The sequence below is a fragment of the Homo sapiens genome, chromosome 13 (genome assembly GCF_000001405.40).
Source record: "Homo sapiens chromosome 13, GRCh38.p14 Primary Assembly".
Taxonomy (NCBI): domain Eukaryota; kingdom Metazoa; phylum Chordata; class Mammalia; order Primates; family Hominidae; genus Homo; species Homo sapiens.
Genome location: NC_000013.11, coordinates 49,554,290 through 49,579,111, shown reverse-complemented (window position 1 = coordinate 49,579,111; position 24,822 = coordinate 49,554,290). Strand labels below are relative to the sequence as shown.

The 24,822-nt window shown below is 42.3% G+C and overlaps 1 protein-coding gene across 15 annotated transcripts in view, besides 1 other annotated feature; it reads left to right on the top strand.

The window, feature by feature from the left end:
• RCBTB1 (RCC1 and BTB domain containing protein 1) overlaps positions 1-24,822 on the top strand; it is a 53,613-nt gene that overhangs the window by 6,447 nt on the left and 22,344 nt on the right. For 9 of the 15 annotated variants that reach the window (NR_148015.2, NR_148016.2, NM_001352501.2 and 6 more), the window contains 4 exons: positions 11,792-11,958; positions 12,344-12,494; positions 19,028-19,194; positions 23,439-23,597. Coding sequence is in view for 13 of the 15 variants with exons in the window: in NM_001352501.2 (NP_001339430.1) it covers positions 11,833-11,958; positions 12,344-12,494; positions 19,028-19,194; positions 23,439-23,597 (603 nt within the window). In the remaining 2 variants the exon portion in view is untranslated. Of the gene's footprint in view, positions 1-11,788; positions 11,959-12,343; positions 12,495-19,027; positions 19,195-19,904; positions 19,935-20,777; positions 20,827-23,438; positions 23,598-24,822 lie in introns of those variants that run through there. The other 6 variants (NM_001352502.2, XM_011535134.2, NM_001352500.2 and 3 more) reach the window with 3 other exon arrangements.
• Positions 12,768-13,575: an enhancer, noted in NCBI's record as "NANOG-H3K27ac-H3K4me1 hESC enhancer chr13:50139673-50140480 (GRCh37/hg19 assembly coordinates)". NCBI's record gives its function as "activates a minimal SCP1, AML or CMV promoter by ChIP-STARR-seq in naive H9 embryonic stem cells {active_cell/tissue: H9 hESC(naive)}" and the evidence as "EXISTENCE:reporter gene assay evidence [ECO:0000049][PMID:30033119]".

The following is a 24,822-nucleotide window of genomic DNA, read 5'->3' as shown; positions in this document are numbered from 1 at the left end:
GTATCTCAATGAGACAGCATTTGCTCAGTCTCAAAAAGCCCATCAGAATTATATGTAAGAAATTGGTAAGAGTAACATTTGGCTGTTTGTACCTTGAGAGGGTTTTTGAATTGCTTTTGCTGTAGCATAGATGGAAGACATTAAGTTGTAATGTTGTATACCAAAGTTTACCCCAAACCGTAGAGCTCTCTTATTTGAATGTTTTTCTGGAATTAAATGGATTCAGAAATAAAGATTGTCATACCCTTCAATCTTTTGTGCTCAAATGGAACATTTATTGCTAAAAAAGGAAGAAGGCTATGAAGAACACTTTGTTCTTCTAGGAAACTGGATGATCTTCACTGAGGAAAGGCTCACATTTTATCATCTGCTGGAATATGGAGAATTTGGTTTCTGGGATTTCGTGTAATTGTTTTCTGTTATATACAATTTTTATATAGTTGTCACTAGTTTGCACATAATTATTTCCTATTTGACATATTAACATGTGTCACATGGACCATATACTTGCATGATACATTCATTTCCTTAATTATTCCAGTTGTATTTGCATTCTAGTTTTCCACTTACTTAGGATCTGACTTTCCATTAGACCTTCAGTTCCTCAGAGGCAGAGACCATGATTGTATTCTTTATGATGTCCCTGGCATTGTTGGTATCTGGGGTCATTGCAGAAGAAGAATTAATGTATGCTATTAAAGTCAGCTCTCTGTATCCATGGATTCCACATCTGTGGATTCAACCAGCCTCAAATTGCAAATATTAAAAATTGCATTTGTACTGAACATGTAGAGTATTTTTTCTTGTCATTATTCCCCAAGCAATAAACGTTAACAACTATTTACCAAGCATTTACATTGTATTAGGTATTATAAGTAATCTGGAGATCATTTAAAGTATATGGGAGGATGTGTGTAGGTTATGTGCAAATACTATGCCATTTTCTATCAGGGACTTGAGCATCTGTGGATTTTAGTATCTGCAGGAGATCCTGGAACCGGTCCCCCACAGATACTGAGGGACAACTGGATTTTGTTCACATTAGCATACAATAGTACTTTTTTCCAAGGCCCTTTAGATTTTATCACTAGCTCATTAACTATAAATAAATTTTTTTCGTAAGACAGCTTAGCAACTTAAACTGATAAATAAAATCATCACCCATTCAGTTTACAAAAATAGAGAAACCTCTATTAGGAATTTTCAGTGTATGTGTAAATGCTTTAATTCAAAGTTTTTGCAATTAAAAATATCATTTTGCATATTAGAAGTTGCTGTTTTGAGTAGTTTAAAGCTTGCTGTAGCTTGTATGCTGAAGAATGTTTAGGCTACTTAAAATGATTGTTCCAACATTCAGAGCCCTTCCAGTTTCCTCTGGCTATCGGCTTCCATAATAAAGAATGACACAAACTCATTTCATGCTTCTAAAATGACACCAGAAGCGTCAGAATCTTGGTGCTCGCCAATGCTGAAGGATTGCTTACTCTTTTCCCACTCTTTTCCTTAGCTCTAAGGTCAGTAGAAGCCAGATCTAAAGGTAGAATACCCTATTGGTGGCATTTAAAAGCCAGTACATAACAGCAATTTAAACTAGCCCAAACAAATACATTCTGGTTAGTTGAGGTCTGTGTGGAAGCCATGTGCTTACAGATCAACCCTAAATTTCCACTGTTGTTTAATATTGAGAACATTATTTCATCAAAACCAGTTTTCCTGTACCATTTCTCTCCATTTCCTGTTGTTTTTAAAATCTCCATAAGCATGTTGAAATATATTTTTGCTAGATCAGTAAAATAAACTAAAATAAAATTAGCCTTTCCTTAATATTTGTTCCTTGGGGAAAGTAAAATAAATGTGCTCTTAGGGGAATTAAAAGATTAGTTGCTACATTACTCCTTCAGCCTTCCAGTTCTAAATGTAGATTTCTAAAATTGGAAGGCCTGTGTTTGTCCTGACTGAATTTGCTTTCAGAGTATAAAGTAAAATAACCTTTTCTTCCTCATGCCACAAGTTCTCTGAGGGACAGTGCCAATAGCTAGGATAAGCCATCCCAGGGAATGGGATATTGATCTGTAGGACTAATGGACGTAGGATAAGTGCAGTGGGGATACAGGATGTATTTTCAAGTGCCAGAGAAAATACGAAGAGCCAAGTGGGTTGGCATATTATCTTTAAGGACGTTACACTCTTTCTACCTCTGCTTGCATTTTTGCGTTCCTCTTTTCTTTCCTTGCACCCTTGTTTTATCTTTATACAGTTAAAAAAAAAAGTCATTGATTCACCTAATAATAACTCATAAAGAGTGGTAATTCAGGCTGCAACACATTAATATTGTTTTTCAGAAAGTATTTCCTAAATAAAACATGGAAGGCTTGCAAAAAAATTACTATCTTAGTGAGGTACTTCAGAAGTAACTATTTAAAGATGACTGACATTCTAATTACAGCTCATCATTTTTATAATTATCAAGATGACAAGCCCTGGAAGGACCTGTCATCTTAGCAATTTGTTTGGTCTGGTTTAAATTGCTGTATGCACTGGAAAATTCTAAGAAGGCTATATTTCTTTTATAAATGCTCCGTTGAGAATTTCCCTAATCTGAACTTATATTCTCAAGACATGATTAAAACAGTATGATTTTACTTTTCCAAACACATTTTTTAGGACTGAAACCTTTCTATATTTAATTTTAGAAATGTATCTTTGAGTTTATTAATGCAGTCTTGATAAAAGCCCACAGGATGATTATTTGATTTTAAAAAATTGGGGTAAAAGGTATATAGTGTAAAATTTACCATTTTAATGATTTTTAATTACACATTTTAGTCACATTATGTACATTCACATTGTTGTACAATCATCACCACCATCAATCTCTAGACTACTTAAAAAAAATCATCTCAACTTTTTTTTTTTTTTTTTTTTTTTTTTTTTGCGACGCCTGTCGCCCAGGCTGGAGTGCAGTGGTGCAATCTTGGCTCACTGCAAGCTCCGCCTCCCAGGTTCATGCCATTCTCCTTCCTCAGCCTCCCGAGTAGCTGGGACTACTGGTGCCCGCCACCACACCCGGCTAATTTTTTCGTATTTTTAGTAGAGACGAGGTTTCACCGTGTTAGCCAGGATGGTCTCGATCTCTGACCTTGTGATCTGCTCGTCTTGGCCTCCCAGAATGCTGGGATTACAGGCGTGAGCCACCACACCTGACCCAATTTCAACTTTTATTTTAGATTCAGGGAGTACATATGCAGGTTTGTTACATGGGTATAGCGTGTGATGCTGAGCTTTGGAGTACGAATAATTCCGTCACCCAGGTAGTGAGCATAGTATCCAATAGGTAGTTTTTTAGCCTGTGTACCCCTCCCTCCCTGCCCCTGTAGTAGTCTCCAGTGTCTGTTGTTCCTGTCTTTATATCCACGTGTACCCTATATTTAGTTCCCATTTCTAAGTGACAACATGTGGTATTTGGTTTTCTGTTCCTGTGTTAATTCACATAGGATAATGGCCTGTAGCTGCATCCATGATTTTGTTCTTCTTTATGGCCATGTAGTATTCCATGGTGTATATATACCACATTTTCTTTTTCCAATCTACTGTCAACGGGCACCTAGGTTGATTCCATGTCTTTGCTATTGTGAATAGTGCTGTGATGAACATACAGGTGCATTTTTTTTTTTTTTGGTAGAACAATTTATTTTCCTTTGGATGTATACCCAGTCTTGGGATTCCTGGGTTGAATGGTAGTTCTGTTTTAAGTTCTTTGAGAAATCTCCAAACTGCTTTCCACAGTGGCTGAACTAATTTACATTCCCACTAACAGTGTATAGTGTTGCCTCTGCTGTACAGCCTCGCCAATATCTTTTGTTTTTGACTTTTTGATAATGGCCATTCTGACTGGTGTGAGATAGTATCTCATTGTGGTTTTGATTTGGATTTCTCTGATGATTAGTGATGTTGAATATTTTTTCACATATTTGTTGCCTAGAACTTTTTCATCACCCCAAAGTGAAACTCTGTACCCATTAAACAGTAACTCCCCATTCCTACCTCCCCCCAGCTCCTGGCACCCACAATTCTACTTTGTCTCCATGAATTTGACTGTTCTAGGTACCTCATGTAAGTGGAATCATGCAATATTTGTCTAACTTATTAGCATAATGTCTTCAGGGTTCATCCCTGTTGTTGTATGTATCAGAATTTCCTCCTAAGGGTGAATAATATTCTATCGTATGTGTAGACCACATTTTGTTTATCCATTCATCTGTTCATGGATATTTGGATTATTTTCACATTTTGGCTATTGTGAATAATGCTGCTTTGACCGTTGGTATACAACTATCTGTTCAAGTCTCTGCTTTCAGTTCTTTGGGGTATATGCTAGAAATGGAGTTTATCTAGATAATATAATTCTAATGTTTTTTTTTTTTTTTAAGGAATCACCATCTGGTTTTCTATAGCAGCTGTATCATCTTACATTTCTACCATCTACATTTAATTTTATATTAATAATTCATTTTTCCAGATTTTGCCTGAAACATTCTGCCACTCTACGTTATGAATCTAAAGCAAGAATACATCTTAAAACTTCTAACAGCCTAGGGGTAAAACATAATTCAAATAATTGAACTTTTATTTTCATTGGAAATATTTGTTCATTTTATTGGTCACAAAGTGTTTGTTATAGAAATTTGGGACTGGCCGAGCATGGTGGCTCACGCCTCTAATCCCAGCACTTTGGGAGGCTGAGGTGGGCAGATCACCTGAGGTCAGGAGTTTGAGACCAGCCTGGCTAACATGGTGAAACCCCGTCTCTACTAAAAATACAAAAATTAGCCAGGCGTGGTGGTGCACACCTGTAATCTCAGCCACTCAGAAGGCTGAGGCACAAGAATTGCTTGAACTGGGGAGGTGGAGGTTGCAGTGAGCCAAGATGGTGCCAGTGTACTCCAGACTGGGCAACAGAGTGAGACTCTGTCCACCCCCCACCCCCAAAAAAAGAAATTTGGGACTATATTTTAAAAATACAAAGAAGGCCAGGTGTGGTGGCTCACGCCTGTAATCCCAGCACTTTGGGAGGCCCAGGTGGGTGGATCACTTGAGGTCAGGAGTTTGAGACCAGCCTGGCCAACATGGTGAAACCCCTTCTCTACTAAAAATACAAAGATTAGCTAGGCATGGTGGTGTACACCTGTAATTCCAGCTACTCGGGAGGCTGAGGCACAAGAATTGCTTGAACTGATGAGGGGGAGTTTGCAGTGAGCCAAGATGGTGCCAGTGTACTCCAGACTGGACAACAGAGCGAGGCTCTGTCTCAAAAAAAAAAAAAAGAGAGAAATTTGGGACTATATTTTAAAAATACAAAGAAGGCCAGGTGCGGTGGCTCACGCCTGTAATCCCAGCACTTTGGGAGGCCGAGGTAGGTGGATCACTTGAGGTCGGGAGTTTGAGACCAGCCTGGCAAACATGGTGAAACCCCGTCTCTACTAAAAAAATGCAAAATTAGCCGGGCGTGATGGTGGGCGCCTGTAATCCCAGCTACTTGGGAGGCTGAGGCAGGAGAATTGCTTGAACCCAGGAGGCGGAGATTGCAGTGAGCCAAGATCGTGCCACAGCACTCCAGCTTGGGCAACAAGAGCGAAACTCCATCTCAAAAAAAAAAAAAAAAAGATGAGGAATTGTATCTAATTTCTAAAGGGGAAGTGAGGTAGGAGACTGATAGGACTTGTTTTCTGGCCACAACCCTGCTGACGAAAACAAACAAACGAACAAACTAAAGAAGTGGGGATGGCAGGCCAAAAAATAGAATAAAAATACAAAGAAAGAAAATGATGCCACCTGTAATCTCTCCATGGAGATATATTTTGGTGTATACATTTCTGTATATATTATACTTTAGAAAAATTGTAATCATACAGGACATATTGTTTTATAACATAGCTAAGCTAACTAAGTCTTACAGGGTACATTTATTTTTGTGGTTTTGTTTTGAATTTGGGATGTGCACATAGTTTAGCTGTATGACGTGTTTGGGTGGCAGCTTCTGTTGGGATGCTTCCTTGGGGGGTGCTTATAATTTGGACAAACCATAGCACCATGGGAAGGAAGAGAGTTGGGCTACCTTGCTCAGGGTACTTACCAAGGTACTTGACTGTCAGGGAAGGCCTGGGCTGAATAGGCCAGTTGAAGGTTCTTTCCATTAGCAGTGCCTCCTTCATACAGGAATAGAACACAAATAGAATCACTTCATATCTTCCTATTTGAAGCATCTAAATTATTGTGCAACCCTCTGGAGTGATTATTATTATTACTATTATTTTGAGACAGAGTCTCACTCTTATCACTCAGGACAGTTGCATAGTCTTGGCTCACTGCAACCTCTGCCTCCTGGGCTCAGATGATCCTCCCACCTCAGCCTCCTGAGTAGCTGAGATTACCAGCGTGCGCCACCACACCCGGGGTAATTTTTGTATTTTTAGTGGAGACAGGGTTTTGCCATGTTGGCCAGTCTGGTCTCAAACTCCTGACCTCAACTGATCTGCCTGCCTCAGCCTCCCAAAAGTGCTGGGATTACAGGTGTCAGCCACCGTGCCCAGCCTGGAATGATTATTTAAATGAAATTTAGTTGAACTACATTTATATTCCTTTGAAATGAAATCCATAGTTAGAATAAGTCTGTTAATACTTTTCTTTCATGTTTAGGCAAATTTAATAGATGTCATGATATCAGAGCTGTCCTAAATAATGTTGCTGTTCCTTGCAATGGATCCTGCATTTTTTTTTTTTTTTCTGAGACAGAGTCTCGCTCTGTCGCCTAGGCTGGAGTGCAGTGGCATGATCTCGGCTCACTGCAACCTCCACCTCCCAGGTTCAAACGATCCTTCCACCTCAGCCTCCCAAGTAGCTGGGACACCAGGTGCATGCCACTACTCCTGGATAATTTCTGTATTTTTTGTAGAGGCAGGGTTTCACCATGTCATCTAGGCTGGTCTCAAACTTCTGGACTCAAGTGATCTGCCTGCCTCTACCTCCCAAAGTGCTGGAATTACAAGTGTGAGCCACTGCACCTGGCAGATCCTGTATTTTTGAGTCATTGTTAACCGCACAGTTCTTAAGTCTGACGTAGATTTTATCACAGATGAAATACTCATTAATTTTTAGATTGCACCTGCTTTAGTTTATTGGATTGATAGTGTATACACATTAATTCTTCTTAAGGTTGATATAATTATGATCCTTAATGTGGTTTTCTTAACAGTAGTAAAAGGTGCCACTGCCTCCAGGAAAATGGAATAATTAAAGACCTCACCACAATAGTCAAATTATAATGAGGATGGTGGTAATTTTGAGTAAATTAGAAAGTTTTGGTGGTATTTACAGTTACGCTCTGCTGCCTTAGGAGGGAAATGCCACGCGCCCAAGTTAAGGACCCTGTTCTGTTGTTCTGCCTGGCACATAGCCCCACAAAACCTCTCAGGGAACCTTGTCTGAATTCCAAGGATGCCAGTTCATGTTCTCAGCTGCCCAGGTTGAGCATGCATGGTCTAATGAAGACACACTTTGTGCCTTAGCAGTCTCCAGCCCAAGGATGCACCTTGTATGTTGTGAGCTCCGAGGACAGAGGTCACATGTGTTCTCTAGGCCTGCCTCTCAATGGTTGATGCAAAAGTGCAGGAATAAATGACATTCATGAGGTTTAACCAGGCAAATCTAGGCAGAAGCATTTTGCGGAATGCTTTTTATTGGGAGAGTGGATACTTCTTTTTTTTTTGAGATGGGGTTTCGCTCTTCTTCCCCAGGCTGGGGTGCAGTGGTGCAATCTCGGTTCACTGCAACCTCCACCTCCCAGGTTCAAGCGATTCTCCTGCCTCAGCCTCTTGAGTAGCTGGGATTACAGGCATGTGCCACCATGCTTGGTTAATTTTGTATTTTTAGTAGAGACAGGGTTTCTCCATGTTGGTCAGGCTGGTCTCGAACTCCCCACCTCAGGTGGTCCGCCCGCCTCGGCCTCTCAAAGTGCTGGGATTACAGGTGTGAGCTACCCCGCCCGGCCTGGATACTTTTTATATTGGTAACAGTTTAAAGACAGATGCTGCTGTACATTTACAAGGCAAGATAAAGTCAGAAAGAAGTGACTTTAGGAAGTTCACTGAAGTTGTTGAGGAAGTTCAGCCCTTCAAGGGCCAGGACTGATATTCTCCATAAGAAAAATTAGAGGGGTCTGCTGTGTGACCTTGGCGTCATTTCACCTTTGAGCCTCAGTCCTCATCTGTCAGAAATGGTTTACAGTCTCCTCCTCACAAGAGTATTACGAAGATTAAATGAAATAATGTATGGAAGCTACCTAATTAACAGTGTCTACGACAAGGCAGGTTCAGGATAGTTATTCGTTTCTTCTTTCCTGCTGTTAGCTTTGCTTGATTGTCTTGCTAGGGATAATTACTTGCTTGGCCAATATTACTGCCTCTGTTGTTCTTATCTGTTCAAGAAATCCCCCAGCTTCTTCATTATATCTTGAACATAAAATGACAAATTTCTAGGTTTGGGGGAAACCCAGGCTCAAAACAGCAAACAGCTGTCATACTGACTGATTTTAAAAGCAAACCTGGGACACAGGCCTCAGCACTCTGTTGTTACCACCCTACCAAGCCTGTTGGGGATGCCTTTTTCTTTTATGATGGGTATGGACATGTAAGATACATGACCTATTTCTTGAATTGACTCTTAAATGACAAGTCTTTGGAGAAATACCTTGTAAAATAAAGCTTCATGTGATTTAGCACTGGGTGAAGTCAGTGCGTATAATAATGCCCCATCATTATGAAGGTTAGCTTGATCTTGCAGTAGATTACCAAACCCTTAGGGCAGAGTTGCCCATATTTGTTTAATGATTTTAGAATAATTGTGCTGCTGTCAGGAAGTTGTGTGGTTTTGAATGTCTTACCTTTTGTGTTGTAATTTTAAAGGTGGTGAGTCATATTTTTGGCTAATTCTGTGTCATGTAAAATTAAACATTTTGAAGGCTAACTTGATATGGTTCATAATTCCAGGAAAACCTGCTTCTGGATTTTCTTGAAATTTACTTACCTGCTTGTATGGCTTTATATGGCTTGACTTCTTATGACTCCTTTCTCCATCTGTTTTGTAAGAGGCACAAGAGGTCGTTTGAGGGGCATCTTGTTCCTTTTTGTTTATTTTATTAATCTTTTTGAGACAGGGTCTCCCTCTGTCACCCAGGTTAGAGTGCAGCGTTGTGATCTCGGCTCAACTGCAGCCTTGACTTCCTGGGTTCAAGCAATCCTCTCACCTCAGCCTCCTGAGTAACTGAGACTGCAGGCATGCGCCACCATGCCTGGCTAATAATTTTTCTTTTTCTTTCTTTCTTTCTTTTTTTTTTTTGAGACAGGGTCTCTCACTCTGCCACCCAGACAAGGAGTGCAGTGATGCAGTCTCGGCTCACAGCCACCTCTGCCTCCCGGGCTCAAGTGATTCTCCTGCCTCAGCCTCCCAAGTAGCTGGGATTACAGGCATGCGCCACTACCGCCAGGCTAATTTTTTTTGTATTTTCAGTAAAGATGGGGTTTCACTATGTTTGCCAGGCTGGTCACGAACTCTTGACCTCAAGTGATCTACCCACCTTGGTCTCCCAAAGTGCTGGGATTACAGGAGTGAGCTACCGTGCCTGGCCTTTTTTTTTTGTATTTTTTGTAGAAATGGGGTTTCGCCATGTTGCCCAGGCTGGTCTCAAACTGCTGGGCTCAAGCAGTCCTTCCGGCTTGGGCTCCCATAGTGCTAGGATTACAGGCGTGAGCTACTGCGCCCAGCCTTTATTTTTAAACTTTTAAAAGCATTTAAGATCATCTTACCATACAAAGAATACTTATAAATCAAGAACAAGAAAAAGAACAATGATCCAGTAGAAAAAGATAGGCACTTTGCACAAAAGGCTGACAGTGGGCTCTTAAAATGTGAGTGAGAGGTGAAGAGTTCAGACTCAGGCTTCAGGTTGCCTGGGTGCAGATCCCGACTCTGCCACTTCTTAAAATCTCTTTTTCTCCATTTCCTTATTGGTAAAGTGAGGATTAAATGAATGAATAAATATAAATTTTCTAAAAATAGTGCTTGGCACATAGTGCCCAGTAAGTTAGTTGTTATTGTTGCAATTATTCTGATCATTATTTTTTATTTTCGAGACAGAGTCTCGCTCTGTCACCAGGCTGGAGTTCAGTGGCACAATCTCAGTTCACTGCAACCTCCGCCTCCCGGGTTCAAGTGATTCTCCTGCCTCAGCCTCCTGAGTAGCTGGGACTGCAGGCACACACCACCATGCCCAGCTAATTTTTGTATTTTTAGTAGAGATAAGGTTTCACCATGTTGGTCAGGATGGTCTCGATCTCTTGACCTCCTGATCTGCCCACCTTGGCCTCCCAAAGTGCTGGGATTACAGGTGTGAGCCACCCCCCTCCCCCGGCCTGATTATTTTTTTAAGTGACATCCAACTCCACTCATCACAGGGAAATGCCAGTTTAAACAAAACTGAAATGCCGTGAGAGTACGCTGTGTGGGAAGGGTGTGTGTAAACAGGTGCCATCCTACATCCATGGTGATTTTATATATGGCCACTACTTCAATAGAAGACTGTTTGAAATATTAATAGCTAGTAACAGTAAAATAGCTATTAGACTTTGACCTAGCAATTTTCATTTTTAGGAATTTATTTTAGAAATTTCTGTATAAAACAAGACATGTCAATACAATAATGTGCAGGCAACAATTGCACTATTGTTCTAGCAAAAGACTGGAATTGACTTAAATGTCTCTCAGTAGAAAATAAGGTAAATTGCTAAATCGATGTAATGGAATGCCATAGTACCATTGGAAAGAAATGTAGCAGGTCTATGTGTGCTAATATAGAATGATTTCCCCGATGTACTGTTAAGTAGGGAAAAAAAACTTCCATTTGTGCTTCTGTTTTTAAAGATACACATACACCTATGCATACATGTAGTGCTTCCATGAGCACTGTTTCCAGAAGGAATTACAGATCACTGGGAACAGTGGTGGCCTTTGAGGAGAGGGTCAGGGAGGGATGATAAGGAGACTTTCTTTCTTATCCCCTTTTGTCCATTTGAAACCAAAGTTTTTTTCCCATTTTCATGTATTACTCCCCTGTCAAATCTTTTACTTGTCCTCACCCATACCTCCCCCTCCACCTGCACACACATTTGTCAAGACATCCAAATGTTATTCCAGTAGTCTGGCTATGCAGTGACAATGAATAGCCTGATTTGACGGCGTTTAATCCTCATTGAATTTGTGGTATGATACCTGGGGCTGAAGCTGATCCTTGTCATCCAAGTTGGTGCTGGTGGGAAGAATATCTCTGGTGGGTGGGGACAAGGCTTTGGCTAAGCATGCTCCAGCTGCAGGCGCCCTCTGTGTGTGCTGTTGGAGGTGCTGGAGCCAGAACTTGGTCTTGACCTGCTGCTTTGGCTGTTTTTAGAGGTCTAAGAAGAGGGTGAGTTGGAAGCACATGTGGAACAGATAAGCACTGACTAGGAAGTGGGCAAGACAAACAGCTAGTTCTTGCACGTTATTCTCTTGTAGGAAAGTCCGGGGTTTGAAGGTGGAGGAGGGATTGCACACATGGCTGGGGGAAAGTGAGTGATCCATGTAACCAAAGGTAGTTCATTTATTCTAGAATCAGCTTTTGTTAGTATTTATTAACAGGTCTTTTTTTTGAAAGTTAGCTCAGTGACTATTTAATTTTTTTCTGGAATCCTTTCTGTTCCAGCAGAGATGTCGGCTTATTTATAGGAATTGCTTGAAGCCAGAGTCATGGTGGATGTCGGAAAGTGGCCCATCTTCACTCTACTCTCCCCTCAAGAGATCGCGTCTATTCGGAAGGCGTGTGTCTTCGGCACCTCAGCCAGTGAAGCACTGTACGTTACTGACAATGATGAGGTAAGAGTCTCTTGAAACCTAGTTTCGTTTTAGGACTTATTTGGCAATTGGTCTTCAAAGTGTCCAGTTCAAAGATGGAGAAAAGGCGGGGTATAAATAAAGAGATCCTGAAGTTCAGGAAGACTATGGCTTTGATAGTTTCTCTTTTTTCAGTTTCTTGATTTAATACCCGTCTACTCCATAGCACTCTGAGTTTCATAATATAGACAAACATTCTGAAACGTAAGCAATGTCCACAGAGGTTGAATTTTTCTTAACAACCATATCAGTCTCTTTTCACCTCCTGAGCTCTGTAGTTGAAATGTCTTATTTTCAGAGGAGAGAAGGGAGCTTTTAATACAGCTTTCGGTCAAAAGACTCAGAAAAAAAACTATCTATTTTCTAGGTCTTTGTATTTGGACTGAACTATAGTAACTGTCTAGGAACTGGAGATAACCAGAGTACACTTGTACCCAAAAAGCTAGAAGGCTTATGTGGAAAGAAGATTAAAAGCCTCAGTTACGGGAGTGGACCACATGTTCTTCTCAGCACCGAAGGTAAGGAGGGAACCCATCTAACTTTTCAGTTTGTAAGAAATTGACCGGTTAATTCTAAGCTTAGGGGAGATAGGGCTATACCAGATAACTGATTTTGGATTGTTTGCTTCTTAATTTCTGAGAGGAAGTACATAAAGCAGGTGAAAGTTAAACACTTCGGGCTAACTCTGGAAAAGCTATAGGATGTCTTGCAAATTAGGCAAACTTCTGAGGTTTTCGACTGCCTCCATAAAGCTGTGGATGATTAGATATAGCAAATGATGGTCCTTCCAGCCTAATTTTTCAGTGGATTTGTGTTGCAATGCAACTTTTTTATTTATTTATTTATTTATTTATTTATTTATTTTATTTTATTTTTTTATTGATCATTCTTGGGTGTTTCTCGCATAGGGGGATTTGGCAGGGTCATAGGACAATAGTGGAGGGAAGGTCAGCAGATAAACAAGTGAACAAAGGTCTCTGGTTTTCCTAGGCAGAGGACCCTGCGGCCTACTGCAGTGTTTGTGTCCCTGGGTACTTGAGATTAGGGAGTGGTGATGACTCTTAACGAGCATGCTGCCTTCAAGCATCTGTTTAACAAAGCACATCTTGCACCGCCCTTAATCCATTTAACCCTGAGTGGACACAGCACGTTTCAGAGAGCACCAGGTTGGGGGTAAGGTCATAGATCAACAGCATCCCAAGGCAGAAGAATTTTTCTTAGTACAGAACAAAATGGAGTCTCCTATGTCTACTTCTTTCTACACAGACACAGCAACAATCTGATTTCTCTATCTTTTCCCCACATTTCCCCCTTTTCTATTCGACGAAACCGCCATCGTCATCATGGCCTGTTCTCAATGAGCTGTTGGGTACACCTCCCAGACGGGGTGGCGGCCGGGCAGAGGGGCTCCTCACTTCTCAGACGGGGTGGCTGCCGGGTGGAGGGGCTCCTCACTTCTCAGACGGGGCGGCCGGGCAGAGACGCTCCTCACCTCCCAGACGGGGTCGGGGCTGGGCAGAGGCGCTCCTCACATCCCAGACGATGGGCGGCCGGGCAGAGACGCTCCTCACTTCCTAGATGGGGTGGCGGCCGGGAAGAGGCGCTCCTCACTTCCCAGACTGGGCAGCCGGGCAGAGGGGCTCCTCACATCCCAGACCATGGGCGGCCAGGCAGAGACGCTCCTCACTTCCCAGACGGGGTGGCGGCCGGGCAGAGGCTGCAATCTCGGCACTTTGGGAGGCCAAGGCAGGCAGCTGGGAGGTGGAGGTCGTAGCTAGCCGAGATCACACCACTGCACTCCAGCCTGGGCAACATTGAGCACTGAGTGAACGAGACTCCGTCTGCAATCTCGGCACCTCGGGAGGCCGAGGCTGGCAGATCACTCGCGGTTAGGAGCTGGAGACCAACCCGGCCAACACAGCGAAACCCCGTCTCCACCAAAAAAATACGAAAACCAGTCAGGTGTGGCGGCGCGCCCCTGCAATCGCAGGCACTCGGCAGGCTGAGGCAGGAGAATCAGGCAGGGAGGTTGCAGTGAGCCGAGATGGCAGCAGTACAGTCCAGCTTCGGCTCGGCATCAGAGGGAGACCGTGGAAAGAGAGGGAGAGGGAGCGGGAGTGGGAATGGGAGCGGGAGCGGGACAGCTGCAATCCTATTCCTTAATAGCTCACTGGTCTTTGTTCTGCAATGCAACTTTCAGGGTTCCTTTGGTACGTTTTTCTTTTCTTTCTTTCTTTTTTTTTTTGAGACGGAGTCTCTCTCTGTCGCCCAGGCTGGAGTGCAGTGGTGCAATCTCGGCTCACTGCATGCTCCACCTCCTGGGTTCACGCCATTCTCCTGCCTCAGCCTCCCGAGTAGCTGGGACTACTGGCGCCCGCCACCATGCCCGGCTAATTTTTTGTATTTTTAGTAGAGATGGGGTTTCACCGTGTTAGCCAGGATGGTCTCGATCTCCTGACCTCGTGATCCGCCCACCTCAGCCTCCCAAAGTGCTGGGATTACAGGCGTGAGCCACCGCGCCCGGCATTTTTTTTTTTTTTTTTTTTTTTTTTGAGAAGGAGTCTCGCTCTGTCTCCAGGCTGGAGTGCAGTGGCATGATCTCGGCCCACTCAACCTCCATCTCCTGGGTTCAAGCGATTCTTCTGCCTCAACCTCCCGAGTAGCTGAGACCACAGACGCGTGCCACCACGCCCCGGCTAATTTTTGTACTTTTAGTAGAGACTGGGTTTCATCATATTGGCCAGGTTGGTCTGGAACTCCTGACCTCGTGATCCGCCCACCTTGGCTTCCCAAAGTGCTGGGATTACAGGCATGAGCCACTGTGCCCGGCCGGTACATTTTTCTAAACATAGATGCTACCTGGCTTTCCTTTCTTTGTGCATTGCTTGCATCTTGAATCGGGAAATCTTCATCTGTTCTCTGGCATTCATGTAGTTGCCATATTGAAAGAACCGGGGATGCAGGTTGATAGGTTCTTGTCCTTTTTTACTCTGCCTCTTCAAGATCACTAAGGGAGAGTGGACATTTTGTATGTGTGTGTAATCGATCTGTACTGTGGGCACCCAACACTCTCTGAAAATTCATTATCTATTTAAATGCTTCCTTTTATACTTTAGATACATTAACTCTTGCTCTCTTTCTCTGAGGTCCTCAGCTTTTTGTTGGATAATTGTCTAGGGTGGCATTTGGGAGATGATTTGCATCCCGGCCTTTCTTTGTCTAGACTGAGGAATCACAGCTTCCTAGAATGCTGTCACAGGTTTTAGTATCTAGCCTTCTAAGTGCCTGTAACTCCTAACTGAATCTACTTCAAGTTCTCTGCATCTTTCTCAAGAGAGCTGTGAAATCCAAATCTGAGCATCATCATGTGGTATGAATATAACTGGAGTTGAGCATAATGAGGTGATTATCTCACTTTTGCCTTGCGTAATCATGCCTTCTGGCATCACACTGGTTCTTTCTTTCCTTTTTTTTCTTTTGAGACAGTCTCGCTCTATCGCCTAGGCTGGAGTGCAGTGGCACGATCTCAGCTCACTGTAACATCAGCCTCCTGGGTTCAAGCAATTCTCATGCCTCAGCCTCCGAAGTACAATTAGAGGCATATGCTACCATGCCTGGCTAATTTTTGTGTTTTTAGTAGAGACAGGGTTTCTCCATGTTGACCAGGCTGATCTTGAACTCCCGACCTCAGGTGATCCACCCATCTCAGCCTCCCAAAGTGCTGGGATTATAAGCATAAGCCACTGTGCCTGGCCTTTTTTTTTTTTTTTTTTTTTTTTTGAGGCAGGGTCTCTCTCTCTCTGTCACCCAGGCAGGAGTACAGTGGAGTGATTATGGCTCATTGCAACCTTGACCTCCTGGGCTCAAGCGATCTTCCCACCTCATTTTTAAATTTTTTTGTAGAGATGAGGTCTCACCATGTTGCCTAGGCTGGTCTCAAACTCCTGGGCTCAAGTGATCCTTGTGGCTCGGCCTCCCAAAGTGTTGGGATTACAGGTGTGAGCCACTATGCCTGGCAACTTTTGCTATTTTGTATGTGACTGTTTTTTCCTCTTTGGAAGCTTCAAGGATCTTTTTTTTATTTTTATTTTTATTTTTTTAAGTATTGTGACATAATCATGATTCTGTACTCTGGTGTAATTTTTAATTTATTGTATTGGTCATTTCTGGAAATTTCTTCTTGTAATATTTCATGAATAGTTTCCCTTGTTGGCTGTGTGTGGTGGCTCATGCCTGTAATCCCAGCACTTTGGGAAGCCAAGGCAGGACGTTTGCTCCAGGCCGGGAGTTCAAGACCAGCCTGGTCAACATAGCGAGGCCATGTCTCTTAAAAAAAAAAAAAAAAAAAAAAAAAAAAAAGCCGGGGATGGTGGCACGCACCTGTAGTCTCAGCTACTCAGGAGGCTGAGGCAGGAGGATCAGTTGAGCCCAGGAGTTTGAGGTTGCAGTGAGCTATGATTGCGCCACTGCACTCCAGCCTTTGTGACAGAGTGAGGGTCAGAGTGAGACCCCATCTCAAAAAAAGAAAAATTTTCTTCTTTGTTTTCTCCTTTATGGAATTTTTCTTAGAAAGTTAGAGATTCTGGAGTGATCTTCCAAATTTTTTTTTTTTTTTTTTTTTGAGACAGGGTCTCTCTGTCCAGGCTAGAGTGCAGTGGTGCAATCTTGGCTCACTGCAGCCTCACTGTGTGAGCAGGTGGTTCACACCTGTAACCTCCTGGGCTCAAGCAATCCTCCCACCTCAGCTTCCAAAAGTGCTGGGATTACAGGTGTGAGCCACCATGCCTGGCCTGATCTTCATGATTTTTTAAAAATGTTCTCTCCCATCTGTGTTCTGGGAAATTTCTTCAACTTTATCTTACAACGCTTATGTCAAATTTTTAACATTCCCATTGTTTTATTTCCAAGTGTTCTTTCTTGATCTTTAAATGTTTCTTTCCAGAACTTGTTGCTATTGTTTCATGGATTCAGCGTCTTCTATTTGAGATTATTTAGAATTACAGGTTATTTTAAAATTAACCTTTTTTTTTTTTTCTTTGAGATAGAGTCCTTTTTGCCCAGGCTGGAGTGCAAGGCACAATCTCAGCCCACTGCAACCTCCGCCTCCTGGGTTCAAGCAATTCTTGTGCCTCAGCCTCCTGAGTAGCTGGGATTACAGGTGCGCGCTACCATGCCTGGCTGATTTTTGTATTTTTTTTTTTTTTTTAGTAGATGTGGGGTTTCACTGTGTTGGCCAGTCTGGTCTTGAACTCCTGACCTCAAGCAATCCACTTGCCTCGGCCTCCCAAAGTGCTGGGATTACAGGCAAGCCCAGCCTCATAGAAACTTGTTATAGGTTTTAGTAACTGGTAGAATTAGCTACCTTCTTGCTTTTTTTTTTGTAGGGTTTTCCTATTTATTCTTGTTTGTTTATTCTTCCCATTAAACTTTCTAATCAATTTGTCTACCTCCAGAAAGTAACTTTAAGCTTTTATTGCTATTTAAACTTTATAAGTTTATGTAGGAAAAACTAGAATCTTTATGATACTGAATTTTCCCATCTAAGAACAAGGTATGCATTTCTCTATTTAAGTCTATTTTTCTGTTTTCAGGGGTTAAAACACTCATTAGTTTGGACATTTCTTTCACCTGCCGTAGCTTTTAACACAATATCATGGATCATACTTTTTGTGTTTTATACTCTTTCTTTCAGTCTTAAGCCTCATCTTTCTCAGGATGAAATTTCCCATTTATGGTTTCTGTCATAATTTCTGTAGGAGGGAATGGCTCTTGTGAGCCACATGTCACCTGGAAGAGGACTCTGAGTTTGTGTGGGCTGTCTTCGTTCTACAGTAGACAAGTAGAAGTCTGTTTCCCCTGGTTGCCTGGGGACTGCTGTGAGTGACCAGCAGCCTAACTGTAATACTTGGATTTCTGCTGTTGCCCTTGAGTGTTGTTGCCAGGCAGACTGTCCTTAATAGGTCAGGATGTTTTATTACCATGGGAAAGATAAGAGGAGAATGTGTAACTCTGGGAGACCTGCCCTTGGCACTCGGGGGTGCTGTGGAAAGAAATGCCTGAAACGATGATACTTCAAGAGATAACACAAGAAAAGTTGTCTTCATCAGAATCTCAGAAAAGATAAAGTCATTATAAAAAAAATTCAGACAGAGGAGCTTCCGGGTTGGTGACCACATCGAGGTGCTGGGAGGGGGTGGCATGCCAGGGAGGGCATGGGAGCTCCGTGCACCCCTCATCCCCGCATACCTTACCCTGTGTGTCTCCCCCATTTGGCTGTTCCTGAGTTGAATCTGTTAGAATAAGCTGATTATGCTTTCCAGAGATAGTCACAGCAGTGTGAGTGACAATGCCTCCAGGTGTTGCTAGTCCTCAACTCTCAAGTCATCTCCAGCCTTTTAATCTTCCTGAGATCACACACACTGTGAAGCAAAGACAAGCCATCTTCATTGTCCCCTGTCCAAATTCCTGACACAGAATAAATGAGCGTAAAAAAATGGTTGCTTTATGTAAAAAAAAAAAAAAATTCAGCCAGATTTCATGCCACTAAAATAAAATAGTCTGCTTCAAAGAAGCCCTGAGACTTTTGTTTCCTTTGTAAACAGTCTATCTCTTTCCCCTATACTTGGTGAGCGAGTAGCCACACGCCCCCTGTGGGTTCCCCGTGACTTGGTATTTGGTTAAGCAATGGTAAACATTAACATCGAGCTTTCTTATCATCTGCCTTTTTCTTGGCATCTGACACAGAAACTATTGAGATGAATCAAAGCTTTTAGAAAGCCTAATTCTTGCATACGTAAACTTTGCTTTTGATCACAAAACTGATCTTTCTATGTTATTACCAAGTTTTTTCTTTAAAGATTTTGCATCTGTCTATCCCGTTCTGTCACCCATCTCTCTCTCCTTTACTCTGTCCATGGTTACTTAATAGAGAGGAGGGGGCAATGGGAGAGAAATGAAGGTTGGAGAAGGAGCTGTACGAAGTTCTGGGGAAGAAAGTACAGGGTTACTATTTCTTTTTGGAGCTGATTTTTTGTGTGCTTTGTGTGCACAGATGGAGTGGTTTATGCCTGGGGCCACAATGGATATAGCCAGCTTGGGAATGGGACGACCAACCAAGGCATTGCTCCCGTCCAGGTCTGTACCAATCTCTTGATCAAGCAAGTGGTGGAAGTAGCTTGTGGCTCACATCATTCAATGGCTCTGGCAGCTGATGGAGAGGTAAGTATGCTGCTTTTATTCTTTATTCTTTTTTTTTTTCATCATAGTAAATACACTTAACATAAAATTTACCAGCTTCACCAGTTTTAAGTGTATAGTTCAGTGGTGTTAAGTATGTTCACCTTGTCATACAACTGTCACCAGCATGCACCCACAGAACTGTTTCATCCTGCAAAACTGAAACGCTGTCCCTGGTAAACATTCACTCCCATTCTGTCCTCCCCCAGCCCCTGACAACAACTTTCTTTTTTTTTTTTTTTTTGAGATGGAGTCTCGCTCTGTCGCCCAGGCTGGAGTACAGTGGCACGATCTCTGCTCACTGCAAGCTCCGCCTCCCGGGTTTACGCCATTTTCCTGCCTCAGCCTCCCAAGTAGCTGGGACTACAGGCACCCACCACCACACCCGCCTAATTTTTTGTATTTTTAGTAGAGACAGGGTTTCACCGTGTTAGCCAGGATGGTCTCGATCTCCTGACCTCGTGATCTGCCCGCCTTGGCCTCCAAAAGTGCTGGGATTACAGGCGTGAGCCACCGTGCCCAGCCAACAACTTTCTACTCTGTTTCTTTGAGTTTGATTACTCTAGGTACCTCACGTAAGTGGAATCATACAATGTTTGTCCTTTTGTAACTGGTTTATCTCACTTAGCATAATATCCTCAAGGTTCATCCACTTTGTACCATATGATAGGATTCTCTTCATTCCTTTTCAGGGCTGAATAATATTCCATTGGATACATATAGTAAGTGCCCACATAATGTCATTGATAGATTCTTGGAAACTACAACTTTAAGCAAAAAGACATGTAATGAAACCAGTTTTACCATTGGCTAATTGATAAAAACAAGAGTTAAGTTCCTATGGTATATTTCTGGTCACAAAGACATCACCAAACTTCTGAAGACCCAAACCACTTCTTAAACATTTAAATAAATGCAAACTAATACATATATTTAACAAAGATTAATAAAAGCAATAAGAGAATTATTTACCCAATTTATGGTGAATCACTGAGTTGGGGTGATCATAGTGGTGGTGGGTTAAGTCAAGGAATAAATGTTTGCAAAGCAAAAATTACAAGGGGCACCTCCTACTGCCACACAGTTCAAAAGCAAACGATCACAAATGTGACAGCTCACTGAGGGTGTTTGACTGTGTTGTTTATTGTTATGCATTTGTATGGTTATTGTCTACTTTGTGAATTTTTTTTTTTTTTTTTTTTTTGGAGACAGAGTTTCACCCTTCTTGCCCAGGCTGGAGTGCAATGGTACAATCTCGGCCCACTGCAACCTCTGCCTCCTGGGTACAAGTGATTCTCCTGCCTCAGCCTCCTGAGTAGCTGGGATTACAGGCGCCTGCCACCATGCCTGGCTAATTTTTTTGTATTTTTAGTAGAGACGGGGTTTCACCATGTTGGCCAGGCTGGTCTCGAACTCCTGACCTCAGGTGATCCTCCCGCCTCGGCCTCCCAAAGTGCTGGGAATACAGGCATAGCCACCATGACAAGCCTACTTTGTGAATTTTTATTTTCTAATAATTTGTATTCATTTATTCATTCATTCATTTTCCAACCCGTTTGTTCCAGTTCAGGGTTGCATGTGGCCACAGCCTCTTCTGGCAGCGCAGGACACCAGGTGGGAAGCAGCCCTGGACAGGATACAGGGTGCACTCATGTATACCCCCACACTCACTCTCACTAGAATCATTGAGACATGTATACAGCTTAGACACAAACTAGTCTGCACAGCTTTGGGGTGTGGGAGGAAATCAGAGTACCCAGAGAAAACCCACACAGACATGGGACATGCAGACTCCACAGACAGTGGCCCTGGCCGGGAATTGACATTTTTTCTCATTAGTGTTATAACAAAATGATGTTGAATGAAATGACGTTTTTCAAGGACCTGCTGTAAGCCACACTTTGTTTGTCTATTCATCTGTTCATGGATGTTTGGATTTTTTCCACTTTTGGCTATTGTGAAAATCCTCTGATTTTAATGACCATATTTGTACTTGATGTGGTGTGAATATTGTAGCCCTGTGCATGTAGCTAAAAACCTTGTGGGAGTGCACTCTCTCTCTAGCATAACGTGTATTGTATAATCAAGATTACACTTTTGATGGCAGTAGAATTCATTCTTTTAAAAAAAAAATTTTTTTTTGTAGAGACAAGAATCTGGCTATGTTGCCCAGGCTGGTCTTGAACTCCTGGGCTCAAGCGATCCTCCTGTCTCAGCCTCCCAAAATGCTGGGATTATAGGTGTGAGCTACCGCACCCAACCTAGAGTTCATTTTTTAAGGCAGCTGAGTCCCATGCTCTTTGCTAAGACTATAGCTCAGATGTGTGACAGTGTTCTGTACTTTTTTTTTTAGTGACCCCATCCTTAAGGTCTATTTTATTTTTCAGTATATGTAATGAGTTTGGAAAAAATAACTTTACTATCCTCCTAGTAGGTACTGTAACACTTGTTAAGCCCCCAAGTTGTGCTTATCTTAAAGGTCACTCATCCTATTGATTCTGTCTTCTAATCTTTTGTACCATCTCCATTTCCTCTCCATTTCCTTTGCCTTTTTGTTCCTCCATTTTGTTCCTCTCCATTTCCATTGCCTTTGGTCAAGTCTTGTCATTTCCTGCCTAGACTACTGCCATAGTCCCTTCTATTCCCTATCTTTTAAGTTGATCCGTCTGTCCAGTCTTGCTTTGCTGTCCTCTCTGGTTTCTAACACAGATTAGATCATACTGTTCCTCTCTTTGAAGTCCCTCAGTGATGTTACAGAGATTTTATTAAGTAGGACAACTTATAAGTGAACAAACCCAAAAGCTCAGGGAGACCAAGATTTCATGACTGGGATGTGCTGGAGCCAGGCATAGCACACAGGCCTCATGCCCCAGATCCACTGTTTCCTAGTCCATTTCTTGGTTAGTGGAACTATAGCCCCAGTTTTTAAACAAGAGTCAGCAGCACTGCAAGGGAATGTGATGTATTTGAGAAGTGCCAGAAGAATGATTGCTGAAATTAGCTCAAACTTGCTAATTTATGCCGGCTGGGTTCCTGATTTATTTTAATCTTAAGCATATGGTACTTTGAATAATTATACTGAATATTAATATTTGCATAATTAAACTAGATATTTATGTGAATATACTTTGAGGAGGTGTTGCAGGTTATTTGTTTTGTACCTGTGAAATGAACCTGTAACACATATACCAGAGGGCTCTACTGTTGTTGCCTTGGCCAGCATCAGACAAGAATCATGGAAGCCACACTCAGTATATACGTGGACCACCTCCTGCAGCCACGTGAAGCAGGGTGGGGAGCGGGGGCTTAGACATTTCCTAATGTTGGAGGAAATTATTTCCTCTACTGCCAACACCTCCCTCCCTAATTCATCTCTCTGTTTATAGTCTTGTTTAGAATGGTTTCCATGAGGCTGGGCATGGTGGCTCACGCCTGTAATCCCAGCACTTTGGGAGGCCGAGATGGGTGGACCACGTGGTCAGGAGATCGAGACCATCCTGGCTAACACGGTGAAACCCCATCTCTACTAAAAATACAAAAAATTAGCCGGGCATGGTGGCGGGCGCCTGTCGTCCCAGCTACTTGGGAGGTAGGAGAATGACATGAACCCGGGAGGCGGGGCTGGCAGTGAGCTGAGATCGCACCACTGCACTCCAGCCTGGGGGACAGAGTGAAACTCTATCTCAAAAAAAAAAAAAAAAAACCAAAGCAAAACAAAAAGAATGGTTTCCATGGAAAACAATGAATATTTATGCCCAAAGAGTTGAGCAAATGTTTTACATCACTAATACTTATGTGGCATATACCGCATTTCCTATTGATGCCACATTCGTATGTGTGTATGTGTAGTTGTGTGTGTATACACACACACACAAATTATAGAGGGAATGTAGCATGGTGGTCAAGAGCATAGCTAGACTGCTTGGGGTTAAATTCTCTTAGCGCTACTTACCAGCTTTGGTACCTCAAGCAAGTCACTTAACCTCTCATGTTTCAGTTTCCATGTATAAAACGGAGATGTATAAAGTGGGTACTACCTACTCTAGGGTCACTTTGCAGGATTACTAGGCAGGTTAAATAGGTTAATGTGTGTAAAGCATATAGAACCGTTTAGCACATCTTAAGTACTCATTAAGTAGGATAATTTTAATTTTTATGATTATTTGTGTTGGGGTAGAATTTTCACCCTGACTATTCTTTCCTTTTCCTTTTTCTTTCTCTTGTAGGTGTTTGCTTGGGGTTATAACAACTGTGGCCAAGTGGGATCAGGTTCTACAGCAAATCAACCAACTCCTCGAAAAGTTACAAACTGTTTACATATTAAGAGGGTAGTTGGCATTGCCTGTGGTCAGACTTCATCCATGGCTGTTCTGGACAATGGCGAGGTGAGGTGTCTCCACTCCCATTTCCCTTTCTACCTTCTTTTTCAATTACACGTCAGTTTCTTCACAAGGTGAATGTATCAGATGGAAGAAGGAAGAGTGCTTTGTTTTGGTAGCTCCATTGAAAGTTAACTGATTACTGACTGAGGAGCTGGAGGTTTTTTGCTCCTCAGTATGACTTTTCTAAATTCCAGGATTTACCTGAAAGTAAAGATTCTATATGTCTAAGTTGTATTTTTTGCAAGATCCAAAGAGCCTAATGCCTATAGCTATTTGTTCGTGATATTTAATGTAATAGATTAAAGAATTTAATCCTACCTTTCTCTTCCAATGAAACAATGTCAACTGTACATTTTAAAATTAACTGATGAAGTCCTTGTAGAACTACCTACCTATATCTTGAATGTTCACAGGAGGAAGCAACTTGCAAAAGCAGATTTTTTGTGGGGTCCTGACTGTTGTTAGCTACTTTTAACAACTGTCCCTTTAGTTACCCCCTACTGTGGTCACTTTTGAGCTGATGGTTATTTCTGTGAAATTAGTCTCTGGATGCAGCTTCCACTTAAATAGGCTATTTACTACCTATGCATATTTTAGTGCATGAAAATTATACAAAGATATTACCCTGGACACAGATGTTTTGGCATCATGCATTGGTGTGCTTGGGCAGTGGTCCCCAACCTTTTTGGCACCAGGGACTGGTTTCATGGAAGACAGTTTTTCCACAGATGGCGGTGTTGGGGGCATGGTTTTGGGATGAAACTGTTCCACCTCAGATCATCAAGCATGAGTTAGATTCTCATATGGAGCGCACAGCCTAGATGCCTTGTTGTGCAGTTCACAATGGGGTTCGTGCTCCTGTGAGAATCTTATGCTGCCATTGATCTGACAGGAGGTGGCGCTCAGGCAGTAATACTCCCTTGCCCGCTGCTCACCTCCTGCTGTGCGGCCCGGTTCCTAACAGGGCACGGACTGGTACCGGCCTGCGGCTCATGAGCTGGGGACTGGGGACCCCTGTGCTAGGGTGCTTTAGAGTTTATGCATAGACCTTATGTTAACTTATTTTTTAAAAAATCAATCTCAGTATCATGAAATGACTTCAGAATTCCTTGGGATGGCCGTTGAATATCCTCCATTCCAGTATTCTTCTCTTATTTTTAAAAATAAGTTTAATTTTTAGGTTATTATTATATGGTTATTTTAACAAAGTAAAGGAAGACAAGTGAAA